Source organism: Homo sapiens, chromosome 10 (genome assembly GCF_000001405.40).
Source record: "Homo sapiens chromosome 10, GRCh38.p14 Primary Assembly".
Lineage (NCBI taxonomy): Eukaryota > Metazoa > Chordata > Mammalia > Primates > Hominidae > Homo > Homo sapiens.
In genome coordinates this window covers 35,491,691-35,509,806 of record NC_000010.11, presented here as the reverse complement: position 1 = coordinate 35,509,806, position 18,116 = coordinate 35,491,691, and the positions used below count along the sequence as shown (strand labels likewise).

Here is an 18,116-nt window from a genome sequence, read left to right as displayed (position 1 = left end):
GAAGCCTGTGAAACCCAGAGCACTGATCAGCAAGAGCAGGTGTGCTCACAGGGGGATGCCCATGCGGGGAAGGCACCCGGCTGGGAGAGAGGAAAGCACCATCATCACTTTTCCAGGACCACCAGGGGTCACAGAGACACAAAGACAAAAAGCAAAATAAGAAAAAAATCTTCCTCTCTGACCTCAAAGTGTTCACAAACTAATGTTCCATAGAAAGAAAAAGAAGGTACAGGTTAGGCACAGTGGCTCATGGCTGTAATCCCAGCACTTTCGGAGGCCAAGGCAGCTGGATCACTTGAGGTCAGGAGTTTGAGACCAGCCTGGCCAACATGGTGAAACCCCGTCTCTATTAAAAATACAAAAATTAGCTGGGCGTGGTGGAAGGTGCCTGTAATCCCAGCTACTCAGGAGGCTGAGGCAGGAGAATCACTTGAACCGGGAAGGCAGAGGTTGCAGTGAGCCAAGATCACACCACTGTACTCCAGCCTGGGTGACAGAGCAAGACTCTGACCCCCTACCCCCAGCCCCCAAAAAAGGGTACAGCTTTTAGCAGGATCAATTATTTACAGCAAGACTAAAGCAGAAGGCAAATACCCATGGAGTTAAGAACCCAGGTGAACCAAATCATTCTCTATGAAAGCGAGAAAATAAGCCAACTTTGGATCTCAGAACAAAAATTGGGAAAATGCCAACTTTATGGTAGAATTCTGCTCTGTAGAAATGTATTTGGCCATAAAAAGGAATGAAGTACTGAGATACACGGATGAACCTTGAGAACATTATGCTAAGTGAAAGAAGCCACTCACAAAAGGCCATGTATTATATGATTACATTTATATAAAATATCCAAAATAGACAAATCTACAAACAGTAGACTAGTGGGGGAGGGGAAGGAGTAGGAATGACTGCTAATGGGTACAGGGTTTCTTTTGGGGGTGATGAATATGTTCTAAAATTAACTGTGATGACAGTTGCACACCTCTGTGGTTACACTAAAAACCACTGAACTGTATATTTTTAAAAGGTGAATTTTACATGTTAATTATGTATCAATAAAACTTAATTGAAAAATAAGTTTTTCAGTAGAAATTAAAAAGTCAAAGGCCAAGGTCAAGAAAAAACCCTATGGGATAGACTGGAATGGGAAATTTAAAGTAACAGTATGAATTCATGATTTCTGAAATGTCTGTTTCCTAGCTACACCTGCTAAATGGGCCTAGAAGCAATAGCACCCCAGCAGCAATGAGCACACATGGTGTCCAGACCTTGGTTCTAGCACTGTTTGCCACTAAAAGGAATCAGGACTCCCTGGAGAAATGGCTATCCAGGGTTGAGGCAGAGGTACAAGATGAGCCTGAAATATCTTATTGTGCCAGAAAGCAAAGGAGTTCGCAAAACAAAACGAAAGGATGGAGCATGTCACAAGAACACAAAACCAGTATCAAAAGACTGCCACTACCCAAATCTAGGACATCGAAATATTTAAGCACAAGCATGAACTAGGTATCATTAGAAAAGCAGAAATCCAGGAATCTGTACTGAAAATGGCTGGATGGACAGACAGATGGACAGATGGGAAGAGAAGGCTCTCTCTTAAGCAGAACACCTACTGACAAAGGGAGAGAAGTATGGTAGGGCTGGAAAACCACCATTTTGTAACCAAAAATAATAAAGATTGATTCGGTCAAGCCTGATCAACAGATGCTAAATCTGGGGGTGGGGATAAAGTGCAGGATATCTACATGGTTTTAAAGTACCTGCCCAGAGACTGCTTATTAGTTGCAAAGGGAAAACGAGTAAACAGACAGTGGAGGATCCAGGCAGCACCTTGCCCGGTAATCAAAATCAACATCAGCAACAAGAGTCAGATGAAACTGCCTGCCTCTCGATTTGATGTCTTGAAAAGGGCAAGGGAACACTCCATGTAGTATTCTGGCTGTAAATGTTTAACTGAATCCTTCGGGCAAATCCAAAATGAGAAACATTACATTATTATTTAAAAAAAAAAAAAAAACTGGCCCTGTATTCTTCAACAGTGTCAATGTCCTGAAAGACTGAGAAAGGCTGAGAATCTGCTCCAGATTAAAGGACATAGAGCGTGCATGCCAACTAAATGCCATGTGTCAGGCTGGAGTGAAACCCATACCACAGAAAAACACGCTGTAGCGGACATTACGGAGCCACTTAACATTGCTGGAATATGATCAGTTAATTAGAAGAAACATATCAATGTTAAATTCTTTATTTTGATAATATTGTGGTTACACAGAGAATAGCCTTGGTCTTAGGAAATACACAGTGGAGTATTAGGGAGAAAAGGCAGAATGCAGACAACCTACTTCCAAACAATTCAGAAAAAATAATAAAAGACAATGACCAAGGATGTGCAGAATGTGAGAGAATATTGGTTTAAAACTGATGAATCTGGCTAAAGGGTAGATGAGAGTTTTCTGTATTACTACTATTAAAATCATTCTGTAAGTTTGAAATAAAAGTTAAAACATATATATGTACACACACATATATATACACACACATATATATGTATATATAAAGTCAAAGAACAGATTATAACACAAGGCTAAGGGATACAAAGTCTGCTTCTTAAAGGGCTTTTCTGACAAAGTTCCTGCTTCAAGTAGAATGCTCCTTCAAGGCTTCACTTCATTCCTTTCTTCTCTCTACTCCAGAAGTCCCTGAGCAAGGTGATGGAGTTGAAAACTGAGGAGGTTAGGAGAGCAATGAAGTGACAAGTAGAATGCACAGTGAAGAGGCCCTCAGTGCCTGCCCAGCTAGCAGGAGTGGTTGTGCTTCCCCTAACTCTGGGAATGGCAGCAATGGAACCAAGAGTCAGTGACTGACTAAAATGAGAACAGCTCCTTCCCCACATGTAGCAGTGTCAGAGCAATGTGAAAACCAGGCAGCTGTGGTCAAGAATTTGTGCTGGCTAATTAAGGGATGATATCCTAACACTATATACAAAAGATCAGGGCTTCCAACATAGGAACTTCCATGGAGAACACACCATGAGTTACCAGGCTAAATCATAACAACAGCTCAGTGGCCCCGTCACTTGTGTGTCTTAACAAGGACAATGTAGCTTTCAAAATGACCTTCCACAAAGGCACTAGGGAAGCAATTCCACCTGTCGGCTGCCCTGTATTTGAATGGACCATTACACTTTACAAGTGCCACTTCCTTTGTGCCTCATTACAAGAGTGACAGCATGAAGAAAGGGAAGAAGGGGTGAAGAAGAAACAGAAAGAGGTAAGAAAAGAGAAAGTCCTCCACAGACATAACCAATACACTTAAGGAATTGATGTCCTACCCAAGCTTCTCAATGTACCAGTGTGTGTAACATTATCATTATCATTTCTAGACATTCCGCAAAAAGAAGAAGAAAAAACAAAAAGAAGAGAGAAAATAACAAAACACCTACCCCATGTCAACATCCCTGGGTGAAGCAGAACAGGGGGTCTGAGAACCAGAGCATCTAAGGTTCCTTTAGTCACATGAAAATCCTGTACTCTCAATTATTGCTGTTACTTTTCTATACATTTGAAATTATTTCAAAGTAAAAGCTGGATTTCTTTAATCTTATTGGATTTTTAAAATTTTTACTGATATTTTAAAAACTTAGTCTTCTTTCACATCCTCCAAGCATATGGCATTGATGCTAACACAGCAGCTGCTCAATAAACTCTCATTCTATTCCAGAGGCAAAAGCAAGATTTAAAATGTTTTAAATTTCAGTTCCTAGATGTAGCTCACTGTATTACTTGACTTTTATGACTTACAGATGAAGCCTATAACCAGAATAGACACCTTTTTACAAGGACTCCTATTCCTACCTCACTCAAAGCTAAAAGGCAGAAACTGATTTGGAACTGAACTGTGTTAAGAGGAGCAAATGATTCAAGTCAGTATTCTCCAAAGGGAGCTGAACAGAATATACTCCTCCCAGAAAATCCTGGTCTTAATGATTATGAAAAAACTATATCCATACTCAAAATACCAGAAAGACTTTCATCAGTTTTGATATTGAACTTGGAAAATTAAATCAATTTTACCTAAATTCCAATGGACAATAATAATACAACATACGTATATGGTGTTATAATTAGGCTGCAAATCACTACCTTTGAGTCAAGTAGGTCTGGAATTATGACCCACCCTAGGAGATAAGAAAACTGAGATTTCAAGATGTTTCCAAGATTGCCCAATTAGCAGGTGGCAGAACGAGGGTTTGAACAAAGTTCTTTTGGCTCCAAGTCCCACTAATAATAATGTGACTCTTGCTTAGCTGATAAGTAACTCTCCCTAGTTGCTTTACTTCCTCACAAAGTTTCCTCAACTATCACCAGACTCAGTGTTGAGACAAATGCTTTGGTTTTTTTTTTTTTGAGGATCACACTACACAGAATTCCCAGTCTGGCTTTCTCGTTTCAAAGTGCACCTATGGCAAACAAGACAAAGGAAGCTGGCTATTCAACTCCTCATTCATTCTGTTTTCACATCTTTTTTTTTTTTTTAACTTCTTAGAATAACCCATTCATTTTTGGTGTGCTATCACCAGGTGGCAGGAAGATAATCATAGAAAAGTGAGGCTAAGGTAAAAAGCATACATTCTGAGTTTCAGGAGTGATTTTTTTTTTTCAGGAGTGATTCTTAACTCCAACCACCTACAATGTCACCCACAATCTATAATCAGAGATTTTTACACTTTAATTAAAAGATTCATAAAAACAGCTAACCTTAAAAAAAAAAAAGCAAAGTCAAAATGTCAGCAAATTTTAAATAAACTTTACATAAATCCCTTTACACAGCCTTTTAAAAATACGTGTATCTTTCATATGCATTAAATTTTCCTAGCTGGACGCAGTGGCTCATGCTTGTAATCCCAGCACTTTGGGAAGCTAAGGCGGGTGGATCACCTGAGGTCAGGGGTTCAAGACCAGCCTGGCCAACATAGCTAATTCCTGTCTCTACTAAAAATACAAAAATTAGCCGGGTATGGTGGCGCATGCTTTTAATCCCAGCTACTTGGGAGGCTGAGGCAGGTGAATAGTTTGAACCCGGGTTGGGGAGGTTGCAGTGAGCCAAGATCGTACCAATGCCCTCCAGCCTGGGTGACAGAGCGAGACTCCATCTCAAAAACAACAACAACAACAACAACAACAAAAACCTTCCTATACCTGTTCACTTTAATTACATCTAAAACATAGGTGCTGATTAAAATATTAACCTTTATAATTCACCCTGATTGAACCTGCTGTCAAAACATCCAAAGTGGTTTATTTTCAAATGGCTTCAAGCTTCAAAACCTGGAATAATTCCTTGAGAAGTGGTCTCCTTTCACTTAATCCTCTGAGTCTCTCTTGGCTGTTTTGAGCCAGTTAAAGGCCCCTCTCATTTTCCAGCCTGGGGGACCATTCTCTACTGCCCCATTCCCTGGAGAATGTCCTGGGTCATAGTCCACTCTTTTCACTTGCTTATGTGTGTTGTTTGCTGGAAACCAGGAAAGCCTTACTTTTCTCCACCTGGAGGAGGTTATTTCCCCTGCAGTTATCATGGTCCTGGGGGTAGAGGTGAACACTCGCCTTGTCTTAAATGGCTTACCTACACAACTGTATTCATTTCTCTTAAATAGTAGCCTCTTTGTAGGTTAACTTAGCAACATGTACTAAGTGGGTTCTTCAAAACTTGAAAGAGAAATTAAAGAAACAACATCCCTCACAATAAAGCAAATAAAAAATGAAATGGTATAATAAGGGCGAAAAATAACTATCACTCCAGAGTTCAGTAACAAACTAAATGATAAATTTCAGTTGAGATCCATATTCAGAAATGAACCCTAGAGACTGTCCCATACAAATTTAATTATAAATGTTATCTCTAAGTTCAGATAAGCAAGCTAAACAACCTCTGTCACATGGGAACTGGTGTTATTATCTGAGGAACACAGAGGGTGCGAGCTAAGTGGCGTGCTTGAAGCAGACCACCTGGGACTCAACCCGGGCTCCACTGTCTACTTGGCTAACTTCTTTGTGCCTCATCTCCTCATCTGTAAAACAGTAATACTGAATTGTGCCTACCTAGCATGGCCATTGTGCTAACTAAATGAGTCCATTAAACCAATTACAGCAGAGCCTGGCACACACACTTTAAAGCACTCAGCAGATGGGACCGATTATTATTATTGCTCGTCCTTTCTCCACTGTTCTAACTTACTATTCCTAAGTTTCAAAACCTGAAAAGTACAGCTGCTTTATTAGCCTAATTGAATCTGCAGGTAATTTCACTCAAATGATATTTCAGCTGGTGGGACTGGCACACTCCCACGGCTTTTCCTAGCGTGGCAGGACTGATGGCGCTCATTTGCAGCGAGGTCTGTTCACAGTTTAGAGGGTCACGCTGCTTGTTACAGGGTCATCTGTTATGTAAGAAACTTAGCACCCAGATTTCTTTTCTATAGGAACAGGTGCATTTGCAGAGATCTCAACAACTGTGTGATTTCACTCTGTGTCAGCAGATGTGATTTTACAGAGGTTTGAATGCTGGGCTGGGCGTTAGAAGATACTGTGCATGAGAATGCATGGCCTCCCATACTAATCCATGTGCTGGGTGCAGCAGATGTGTTCTCAAGTGTGTGGCAGGTGCTCAGACTATACAGGACACGAAATGGCAAGGTTAGGTGTGTGCCTGTTGGGGGGGTGGGGCGTGCAGGGATGTTAAAAGAGGTATGCAGGTTAGAACTGTGGGAGCACACCTCTGTATCATCAGCTACAATGATAACAGAGCGACACAAACTCCTATCCTCCTCTTTCTTCAATGCACCTTCCATGGAGCTGCAGTGAACAGGAAAGATGGCCTGGATGCAGTTCCAGCTCTTCTCCTTCCCTTGCAAGCTCCTTGGCAGGCATGCTAATGAGTGTAATGAGTGGGAAAGCATTCAAGTGCACCCAGCAGGCAAAGAAATGGAAGCAAGGATTTAGAGAATTCGTTCCAATCGCTCAAATTTTTATATCCAGGTATATACTGCTTTCAAAAAAAAAAAGGCATGGCAATTTTCATATTTTCCTCATGACACAGATTGCAATTTCAAAGGTGCTTTAAACAGATGCTTTGAAATTTAAGGGGCCGAGGGAAAAGGTCACAGATTGCTTTAAGAATCTGCTAAAAATAATAAGCCCTCTGACCCCTAGAAAACTGTATATGTGCATATATATTAACACTGACTACAAAGAAGTCATCAGTCTCCTAAGGGCGTAGCATCATGTCCCTTGAGTGTAAGGGCCCAGCTTATGAATTTCTTCCCAACTGCATTTTGTCCATATTTTCAAAGGGCAGAGAATACAACATTATGGCTTTAAGTCTCTTTAATACACAGCTTTAGGACTATTTCAAGATCTTCAAATACACAGATGCAGACAGTCTAAAAATCCTGAGAAAGACCCTTGTGTGGTTCTGTTTTTAGAATGAGGACTTAGAGCATACTTATTTTGATAATTTACACCTGTTTCATCATTCCATCCCTCTCGGAGAGTTTTCTTTCCTAAAGGGCCATATTTCTAAGAAGAAGGTGTGGCTAGGACTTGCCTGGTATATAGGGTGTGGAGTAGGTGCTGGAGCCAGCCAGCTACATCTCTGCTCAAGGAAGGAAGAGGGATGAAGTATCTCAATGGGGCACCTGCACCTGGCCACCAGGGGAGGGAGACATGGCTAAGAATGGCCAAAAGACTCCAGCCAAATGTTTGAACATCTTTTTTAAATTTAGTGTTATCAAGTTTATCCTTTCTTGGAGCATCAGAAGAACACGCAGACTCTACTGGACCCACAAACAACAAATGGGAAGAGTCAAGTGTGGAGACAGAGAGCCTCATGGAAAACAACTATGTGTTTATTCAAATGGAACTGAGCTACAAGAGAAAAAGAATAATTTGGGGGTGAGGGTAGAGAAAGGAAAGGATTCAAAATTAAAAAGAAGTGGCTTTCGCTTGGACTTGCTGGGTGATGTTTGATATGTTATTGTTCACACACATCATCTCATGAACAATAGTGGTCTAGGGCTTCTGGAAAAATATTTGGGACAGTGGACAAATACTGAGTGATGCTTGTCCAATTACAAACCAAACTAAGCATAAGTACACTGCAACATTCTTCCAAGTATCTACAAAGCACATGAGCCATTTTCATCCATCACAGACAGTTATTTTAGCTCTTTACACTGTACAGTCATTATGAAGAACACAGGGAGACAGCTTCACTTACATGGTTAATGAAGAGACTCTTGCGTTTTTCTCTCACTGTGAAAACAAAAGATGCAACAGAAATGTTATATGCCTGCATGCCAACCCCTGGCAGGTGGATGAGGACTGGGCCTCTGTGTCGTGGTCCCGTCCTTCCACCAACCAACATACCCACTTGCTCATTTATCAAACATAAGAATACAGGACCTGCACAAATGCAGATCTGAATGAACTTGGCTCACAGAGGGAAATATACATCCATTTAAACAAGAGCACCCTAACAAAATAACTGCAGCTGAAATCAATTAAGGGGTAACAGATTTCCATTAACTGAATAAAAAAGTAATTAGTAACCCTCATAAAACTCATATGCATCTATTAGTTTAACATAATTAACAAATGATAGGACTATTTATTCCCAACCCTACCAGACCCATAAAGCTCCACAGTATATAAGGGAAATATAAATAACAATAATATCTAGAAAGCATTGAGATCCAGGAAGACGATGTACATCAGCAGCATTACTTATCATGGAAACCCATTATTCTCCATGCTGGGTGCTGGTGAATACAGCTGGGCTTCTGTCTGGGAGCCCCTGGAGCTCCTTGTGGCACCCAACCCCAACCCCATAAGGCTGACAGAGGTCACCATAATTGATACTGCTCTAACAGTCACCATAATTGATACTGCTCTAACAAGGTGGCTTCTCACACTGCATGCATGGCCTGTGCTGAGCAGCTCAGCCTGCAGTGTCCCCAGATACCAGTGTTTCTCAGAATGGGAGCCTGCTGCCCCAGAGAGGTAGAAGGGTCAGTCACAGGGAACACGAAGAGCTTGTAATAACCTAGTATCACTGAACTTTGCATTTTCTTTTCTGAAGGCTCATTTTGTGGGTACAGATGAATCCATCAACACATTTATTCGTTACTGTAAAAGACATGAAGAATAGGTTTCATTCAAGGAGATAACATCCTAGGTCCCCAGGAATCAACAATGTTATCTTGGGGTACCCTAAAACAGCAGTGTACAAAAGATAGAAGAAGGTTTTCTCCTTACAGTCCATGCCTCTGCAAAGAAGATTCACTACTGTTTTCAAAAGCCTTCCTGCTGATCTGTTGAAGGGACTATGGAACTGTTTTTCTATCACTCATATGCTGTTCTTAGACTCACAAAAAAACACTTCTCTTTTCCTTAGAAGTCTTGTCCTCTCTGGAATGAATGCTGCCTTCCACTCTTGATATCTCAAAGATAACAAAAGCAAAAATGCAAAAGCAAAAATTAGTCTGAGGATACTGTTGAGTACTTTAAAAAGAGAGACTGACACATAGAAGGCAGCTCCATCAAGCCATCGGATGGACGCATGTGCAGGCGATCAGCCCCCTGCTGTCACAGGACAGGGCACCCTGGCCATGCATGAGGCCAGACTAGCGCACACAGAGCACGAGTGCACAGACAGCAGCAACAAACTGGTCTGCTATGCACAGCATGGAGGCAGAGGGATTACATTTTACCTGACTCCAAGGAAGAATCCACATGAAAACCATAGCAAAACAAACAGGATGGTCTGGCTGGAAGCTCTGGGTTTTAACTTCCTGGCATACATACATACATATATAGAGCGTGTGCATGCACATGTGTGAATTAAATTAATTCATACTAAACTATTATACATGTAGCCAAGGATGGGGATATGATGATAATTCTATGGTGATTTCCCACTGACTGAAGGGACCCGGAAACCCTTTCTACATGGGCCACAGAACTGACAGGGTTCCCACTACATTCTGAGATGACACTTAACCCTTCTCAGAGCAACCCAGTGATAGGTTTGTGCAAAAGAGACACAAGTCTCCCAACTGTGGGAACCACCACCCATACTAAGGTCACCTCAACACCCTACATCAGCCCCTGCCTTCAGCAAATGAAAGATATCCATGCCTCAAAAAATACCAGCACTTCCTATATGGGTACTATTGAGAAGATTAGGAATTATTCACGTGTAGAAGTAATGGCTGAGATGCATAACCTTCAATAGTTCTGACTATAAGTCCGACCAAGAAAGCTGATATGGTTTGGCTGTGTCCCCACCCAAATCTCATCTTGAATTCCCACATGTTGTGGGAGGGACCTGGTGGAAGGTAATTGAATCATGGGGGCAGGTCTTTCCCATGCTGTTCTCATGATAGTGATAAGTCTCATGAGATCTGATGATTGTAAAAACAGGAGTTTCTCTGCACAAGCCCTCTTCTCTTCTCTGCCGCGATGTGAGACGTGCCTGAGATACCTTCCACCATGACTGTGACGCCTCCCCAGCTACGTGGAACTGTAAGTCCCTTAAACCTCTTTTGTAAACTGCCCAGTCTGGGGTATATCTTTATCAGCAGTGTGAAAACATACTAATACAAAAGCTTTCAAACAAACAAAAAAAAAACTACAGCAGACACAGAAGAATATTATAAACACATATGCCATTTTTGTCCACCACCTACAAGGATCAATCTCAGGGAGGAATCAGGCTATTTTCATGAACTCCAACTGGCTGCAATCAGAATGGTGAAGAAAAACGAAAGTTCACTAAGACTATTACAGAACACCTGAGGATAAGCTATCTGAATCTATTACAGAATCTCTCAGGCATTCACTGCTTCTATGCAAATGAACACCTACACACTACCCTATTTCCTCAGAGCAACCTGGGGCTCCTGGGGCCTGAATCAGGTGCCACTTTCCTGTATGGTTTTGTAATGCTCCTCCTAACATAAGAGGGTCTTTGGCAGATGAAGTCTGCACAGTTTCTGAGAAGATTTTCCACACATGCATCTCTATGGCCGACTTGCTTCTGGAGCGTCTTCCGCGCCCCCAAACCAACAACCTGTCCCTACCCAGATGGGAAGAATGCCTGATATCCACGTTAGACCATGTGACCCATTACTCTGACCATCCTGCCTGGATTGGGGGGTAACTTTACCCTCTCTGGGCTAACTCCTTCTCCTGGGAATCTGGAGTTGGGACATACTCAAAGGGCTCTGCTCAACCTTAACTGAGGGTATGATGTGTAAACTTCAGACTGGGGTGGGACTCCGCTGTGCAGGAAAGAGTGAAGCAGCAGATCTGACAGCCATCCTTAAAGGGCCTGTTGCAAGGCTGGCCCTTGGCTGGTATCTGGGAACTTGGATTTAGGAGGGTTCCTTCCCATCATTTCCTAACTGGTAGGAGTGGCTCACTGTGCCTAAGCTGTCTGCACAAACAATATGCTCTATGCCGCACACAGTATGGTTTATTTCCTTCTGGGAGTCTGGAACTTTGGTACTTAACAGGCAGAGCCTTCTTACATGAGTGGTCCTCCATAAAAATCCTGGGTGCTGGGTCTCTACCCAGGAGTTTCCCTGGCTGACAACATTCCACAGGTGTTTTCACAACTCATTTGTGAATGGGGGGATAAAGTGCAACCTGTGTGGCTCCATGGGAGAGGACTCGCCCTGTGCACCTCTTCCCTGTACTGAGTTTGCCTCATGTGCTTGCACTGTAATAAGTTACAGTCATGAGTGTGACTGTATTTTGTGTCTTATGATTCCTGGACCCCCATAAAGCAGTGGTGTCCCTCTGCCATGCAGAGAAACACGGCAGAGGGAGATGGGCAGAAGGCAGGTGCTGCCTTAGTCCTAACAGCTTTTAGTACCCAGTTCCACCAATTCATGAGCTGTCTGAGATACCCTCAGTGCCCTTAAAATTAATTACTCCTTTTCCCCTAAGCTAGCAGGAGCACAACCAAGACATTACCATAGGGGGAATAAGATAAGTAGAATTTTTTTTTTTTTTTTTTTTTTTGAGACGGAGTCTCGCTCTGTAATCCAGGCTGGAGGGAAGTGAGCTGACTCACTCCACCTCCCAGGTTCAAGCAATTCTCCTGCCTCTCCTGCCTAAGTAGCTGAGAGTACAGGGGTGCACCACCACATCCAGCTAATTTTTTGTATTTTTTAGTAGAGACAGGGTTTTGCCATGTTGGCCAGGCTGGTCTCGAACTCCTCACCTCAAGTGATCCACCTGCCTCGGCCTCCCAAAGCGCTGGGATTACAGGCGTGAACCACCACACCCAGTGATAAGCAGAATATTTTACAGTGGTGTATCACCTGAAAAGACTGACAGAATTGCCCAAATCTAAATCTGTCTTTAAAATAAATTTGAAACCACTGAGGCTGATGTGGGTACAGCTCTGAAATTCAAAATGCTTTAGCTATTTTATGTAATGGTATAAGCAATATGCCAACTCATTTCTAATAGGTGGTTTTAGTCATCTTTAACACTTCAATATTTTTGGTTACTATAACAATCAATCAAAATCTCTGGAGTTTTCTGAGTTAATGTCTAACTGAATTAACTAATAATTATGTTTTGCTTCTTTAGAGAAAACAGGCAATAAATTGATATGGATCATAAATTTTTTCTTTCCTGGGAGAGGAATAACAGCAATCTCCTTTGACACAATCTATGATAGTTAAGAGGATTTTTAATTGGCTACAGTGACAGTCCATAAAGATGTAAACAGAAAATGGACCAGAGGCTTTAAAAATAAGCCATCTAAAATCAGCAAAAACAATACAGTTGGCATTAAAAGTCTTCTCCTGATAAAATGGGGAGTGAAGAGAGTAAAAGGCAGTGTTTGCAATCTGAGGGACAAACAAAATTACACTTAAGTTGCTATGGGACACTCTCTTGCCACAATGTCACACAAGTGACTCTTTAAAATACAACTTTCAACCTAGTGTGTGATTATTAATGAGGATTTGTTAACAATCTAAACACCATTTCAGCTGATTCCTGTCATAGGTAGGCATTTAAAAGATTACCTTGGTTTCTCCTCTTCCATTTCCAATTTTTTTCTTTTTTAGAGATGAGATCTCACTATGTCGCCCAGGCTGGTATTGAACTCCTGAGCTCAAGCAATCCTCCTGTCTCAGCACCCCCCAAAGTTTTGGGATTACAGGTATGAGCCACCGCACCTGACTCTCCTCTTCCATTTCTAAAATAGACCGACCTTCCAATGGCAAGTGTTAGCCACCACCAAGCCATAGGATGCTGGTACTAAAAAGGTCCTAAGATACCTAAGATACTCTTTCTTTGGCAAACTAGGGAAGAGCCCAAGCAGGCCAAGGAAGGGAAGGCCCAGAAGAAGAAGAGAGGAGACCGCGTGTAGGACCCCTTCCTCTATACATCCGCCCTCCAACAAGAACATCACTGGTGTGCACAGGCATCCTTGGCATCTGCATAAAACGAGTCCCATTTAAAAACAGAATGACAATTAGAACCAGGTATGAATAGAGCTGTGCTATTCTACAAAGAAAATTTACTTAACTGATTAACTACTCTGGATGTGAAGGACTGGCAGGCCACACAAGAGGCAGGCTTCAACTAAAGAATGACAGAATTTTGTTTGGATATACGAAGCTGATTGCTGAGATAGCTCCAATGCAGATCACAAAGATCTGGTTGAAAAGAAAAGGTTTCATTTCCCTTTCCTTTTTCCTGTGGGTAGCACAGATCAGGCCTTGAACAATAAAATTAAAAGTTTACTATTAACTTTTCTTATAGTAAATTTGAGATGACCACACAGTTCCTACAGTTTTCAATAATTCAGTGAATTCACTCACTCACTCACTCACTCACTCAATTCAAAACAACTGTTGAGCCCCTGTTCAGAATGCACATGGAGGCTCCTGCCCTGCTGAGCTCCTGCCCTGACAGGGAAGTCGTCATGAACACAAACGGCCAGGACACAAAGTGCACTGTAGCAGGAACATCACCCACACTTTGGAGCCCAGAACAAAGCATCCTGGTGTGGCCATTTCCCCCCAAGGCACACCTCCTGTGCTGCAGGAAGGGAGCTTCCAATTAGACCTCTGGCCTGCTCTGAACTGTCCAGGACCTGCTCTTATTTCGAAATCTGGGCACAGAGGAACGTGACATTCTGTGCATTCAAAGTGAAATCTAAATAAGCAAAGCCAATGAAACAAAAATGAAAAGACATAGAAACATTTCTAAGATGTTGAGGGCACAGCCAGTCATGGAGAGGAGAAAATTCCAGGGAAGAGAATAGGAAGTAGACGAAGGAAGAACATAAGGAGAAAACTATTCAAAGAACAAATATCCACCTAAGCTGCCAACACACTTGAGAGGTTTTCTGTTTCTCACAGAGAATATCTAAGGCCAAAGGATTTCTTCAGAAGCACAGAAACTTCAGCTAAGTGGCATCCATTTAAAACTTTCTGCTAATCAGAAAAGAAATGCATGCTTATTGCAGAAAATTTGGAAAATACAGAGCCATATAAAGAAGAAAATGCAACTGCAAATAAAAATTAAAAGCTTGCTTGGAAAACACAGAGATACATAAAACATACACACACACAGAGTATCCTTATCACCCCTTATCTGAAATGCGTGGGTCCAGAAGTATTGTGGATTTAGGATATTTTTTATCAGATTTTGAAATTCTGCATTATTTGAGCATCCCAAATCCAAAAATGTGAAATCCAAAATGCTCCAATGAGTATTTCCTTTGAACATCAGGTTGGTGCTCAGTAAGTTGCAGATCCATCTTGGAGCATTTCAGATTTCAAATTTTTGAATTTGAGAGGCCCAACCTGTTTAATCCAACAATCCAGAGACAATCACTATTAATATTCTGATGTGTATCCTTTGAGTCTCTTTTGTGCGCATATATACAAAGCAAGCATGATGTGTACTTTTGCATATGAATGTATTTGTATATAAGTATGTGCAAGTATACATGTGCTCATATATGAACATGCCAACAGAAATATGCCCATTTTTCTATTGGTGTGTTAGCATTTTGACTGATTGTATAATAATTCTTTAATACATAAAGGCATTAATCCTTTTTCCTATAGATTGTGATATTTCCATCACTGATGATTTCATTGTTAGATGCATTTGGACATGAGTTTTCATTTTTAGGCAACTTCCTTCATTGCTTCTACAAACTTACATGCCCCTTCCCCATTCTGACACTAAATATTCACGTATACTATTTCTAGATGATTATGATTGTATTTGTTACATTTACTCTACCACTAGTCAATCCATCAGAAATCTATCCTGACACATGGTGGAGGTGACGTTATCATTTTATTTTTTAAGTGAGACTTAAAGTGCTGTGTATTCTAATATAATGAGCTGCTATCAAATGCTGGCTGATATAATTTCAGACCTGGCCTCTTTCTGGTTTGCTTCCAAGGTGTGTTGAAGCAACTCTTTCTTTAAAAAAAAAAAATCTTTATTTTTTTGTAGAAATGGGGGGGGGGGTCTCACTATGCTGTCCAGGCTGGTCTTGAACTCCTGGGCTCAAGCAATCCTCCCCACTCAGCCTCCCAAAATGCTGGGATTACAGGAGTGAGCCACTGTGCCTAACCTGGAAGCAACTCTAAGATGTGGGGGTCCACGATCTATCTTTATCAAGGAAAACACAGAAAAAGATGGGACTGGGCACAGCAGTGCACAGAAGCCACCCTCTACTCTTGTCCTGGTATCCATCCCTTCTCCTCCTGGTCAGGCCCAGTGTTCTGGTGCAAGGTGTCACAGTCAGCACAGAGGAGCTGTCAGCACAGACAAGCTAGAAGATGGCACAGACCCAAGTCAGGGAAGAAACTCAATCCAGCTGAGCAAATGAGAACCTACACTCTAGGGTAAGGATTATATTTACTGAGAACTTGTGTTGTCTTACGTACAGGGCTCGGTGCTTTGATGGATTATGCATTTAGTCCTCCTGACAATCTCACAAAGAGGTACTAACTCCATTTTACAGTGATAAAATTGAGATTGAGGGAAATCATGTGGAAATGGATCATATGCACCAAGATTATGTGGAGAGTGTTGGATCTAAGCCTCCAGTTCAGGCAGTCTGATTCCAGAGGATCGCTATCTTCAGGCAATCATTCCAAGGCATTAACTATTCTTACATGGTGACTGCATCAGATTATCCTGAAATTCAGCTGCCTCCCTAGATGTCACGGGGCAGCCAGCCAAAAACATAAGCCACGTAAGGTAAGCTATAAACATGGTAAGCTATGAAAAGTATTTACAAGGTTATCAGTCTGTGCCAACTGAAGGGGAAATGCAGGTGCTCAGAGTTTTTAAAAAGAGAATTGAAAAGTAAGTTTATGGCTACCAGCAGGCCACAGGTGCTGTCTAACAGTAGGACAAGGCTGTGGTAGACGGGGCATCAAACTCCCCCCAGCCTGGGGGAATTATCCCTGCTAACCTCTATTCTGGATCTGTGCTCACTGAGCAATGTTCTGACTGGGAACAGCGCAGGTCAGGAGAGAGGATATGATAAAAGGTACGGAGAAAACTGACATTCTGGGTCTAAATGATTTCATCTGAGTTTGTACTATATCAGCAGCTTTCTCCACACTGGAAAGCCCAAGGGATGAAATACTGGAGTCAGGTGATGCACCCAAGAAAAGTGAGCCACGGCACCCAAAGAGCGCCTCTGACTTACAGGGCGAGGCCTGGCCAAGAAACCTGATACCTGCCCTCCCCCCCCCATGCACCTCAAGAGAAGACTGCAGAGGGGAGAGGGGAGAGCTGGCCTGAGGGTGGCACGGTCATGCTGAGTTCTGACCCGGAATAGGAAAGCCCAAATACACCACCTGAGCCTAAAAAAACCTACATCCTCCTGTCCCTAAATAATGGATGTGTCGTTTTCTAACAAAGCTAGGGAAGGTAGGAGAAGGTAAAGCTGCAACACAAAACAGAAAGCCACTACTCAGGGAAGACTGCCACCGTGCCACGGCAAGTCTGCCCAGGGTGGGTCATGATGCCCTGCCTTCATTCCTTCATTCCCCTATGCTTGTGAGTTTCTTCTATGTGCTAGCCACTGCAGAGACTGCGGAATGTGAAAGGCACAGTTCCTATCCATGAGCAAGATGCAATCCAGCAGATAAACAGAAAGCTATTTATTTCTATACCACAAAAATAATCACCTCCACACAGAGGAATATGCAAACTGCACTGAACGTAATGCCACTGATTTTCTGATAAACCATTACTCTATGTGTCACTAAGAAAGAAAAAAAAAATGCTGCCAATTAAATTTTGGCAAGTCACTGACTGTGCTGATTTCAGAGGTGTTCCAGCCAAGGAAAGGTGTCTATCACAATCAATGGAATGAAGAGAAACAGGGAAGCATCACCTATGAGGCAGCCATTGGGCCAGCATGGACAGAGGGCAGGTGCTGCGGGCAGAGCATGCCACAGATGATGGCCTCTCAGGCCTGGAGGGGAGGGGACCCACAAGAAGGGTGAAAAGGGCTCTGTGTGTGTGCTGGTGTCTCACTGTTCCAGTGGTGAGGAGACAGACGGTCAGGCAGGGAGGGGCCTAAGAGAAGCTCCACTTGCAGACAGGTGGAAGAAAGGTTTGAGAGAGGACATGATGGAGGCAGGAGACTGGGAAGGGGCTCGCCACAGACTGGGTGAGGAAGGAGGAAACGAGAGTCCAGGCAGGAAGGGGAGGATGGGAGAAATTCAGGGCATATAGGTGCAGCTTAGACACTGACTACAGGACTCTGGGGGTGCCCATTAAGACCCAGACAAGCAATGGGTTTATTCTTAAAAACTAGGTTATGAGGCCGGGCGTGGTCGCTCACACCTGTAATCCCAGCACTTTGGAGGGCCGAGGCGGGTGGGATCACGAGGTCAGGAGATCGAGACCATCCTGGCTAACATGGTGAAACCCCATCTCTACTAAAAATACAAAAAATTAGCCAGGTGTGGGGGCAGGCACCTGTAGTCCCAGCTACTCGGGAGGCTGAGGCAGGAGAATGGTGTGAACCCGGGAGGCAGAGCATGC

At 42.5% G+C, this 18,116-nt stretch overlaps 1 protein-coding gene across 5 annotated transcripts in view, besides 2 other annotated features; it reads right to left on the bottom strand.

Annotated features, from left to right (window-relative positions):
* The window catches only part of CCNY (cyclin Y), a 325,643-nt gene that overhangs the window by 62,861 nt on the left and 244,666 nt on the right, over positions 1-18,116 (bottom strand). For all 5 annotated transcript variants that reach the window (NM_181698.4, NM_001282853.2, NM_145012.6 and 2 more), the window contains one exon: positions 8,272-8,306. In NM_181698.4, coding sequence (NP_859049.2) covers positions 8,272-8,306 — 35 coding nt within the window. The remainder of the gene's footprint in view (positions 1-8,271; positions 8,307-18,116) is intronic.
* Positions 11,017-11,166: an enhancer, noted in NCBI's record as "active region_3265". NCBI's record gives its function as "activates an Ori minimal core promoter by ATAC-STARR-seq in GM12878 lymphoblastoid cells {active_cell/tissue: GM12878}" and the evidence as "EXISTENCE:reporter gene assay evidence [ECO:0000049][PMID:35858748]".
* Positions 14,166-14,215: an enhancer, noted in NCBI's record as "active region_3264". NCBI's record gives its function as "activates an Ori minimal core promoter by ATAC-STARR-seq in GM12878 lymphoblastoid cells {active_cell/tissue: GM12878}" and the evidence as "EXISTENCE:reporter gene assay evidence [ECO:0000049][PMID:35858748]".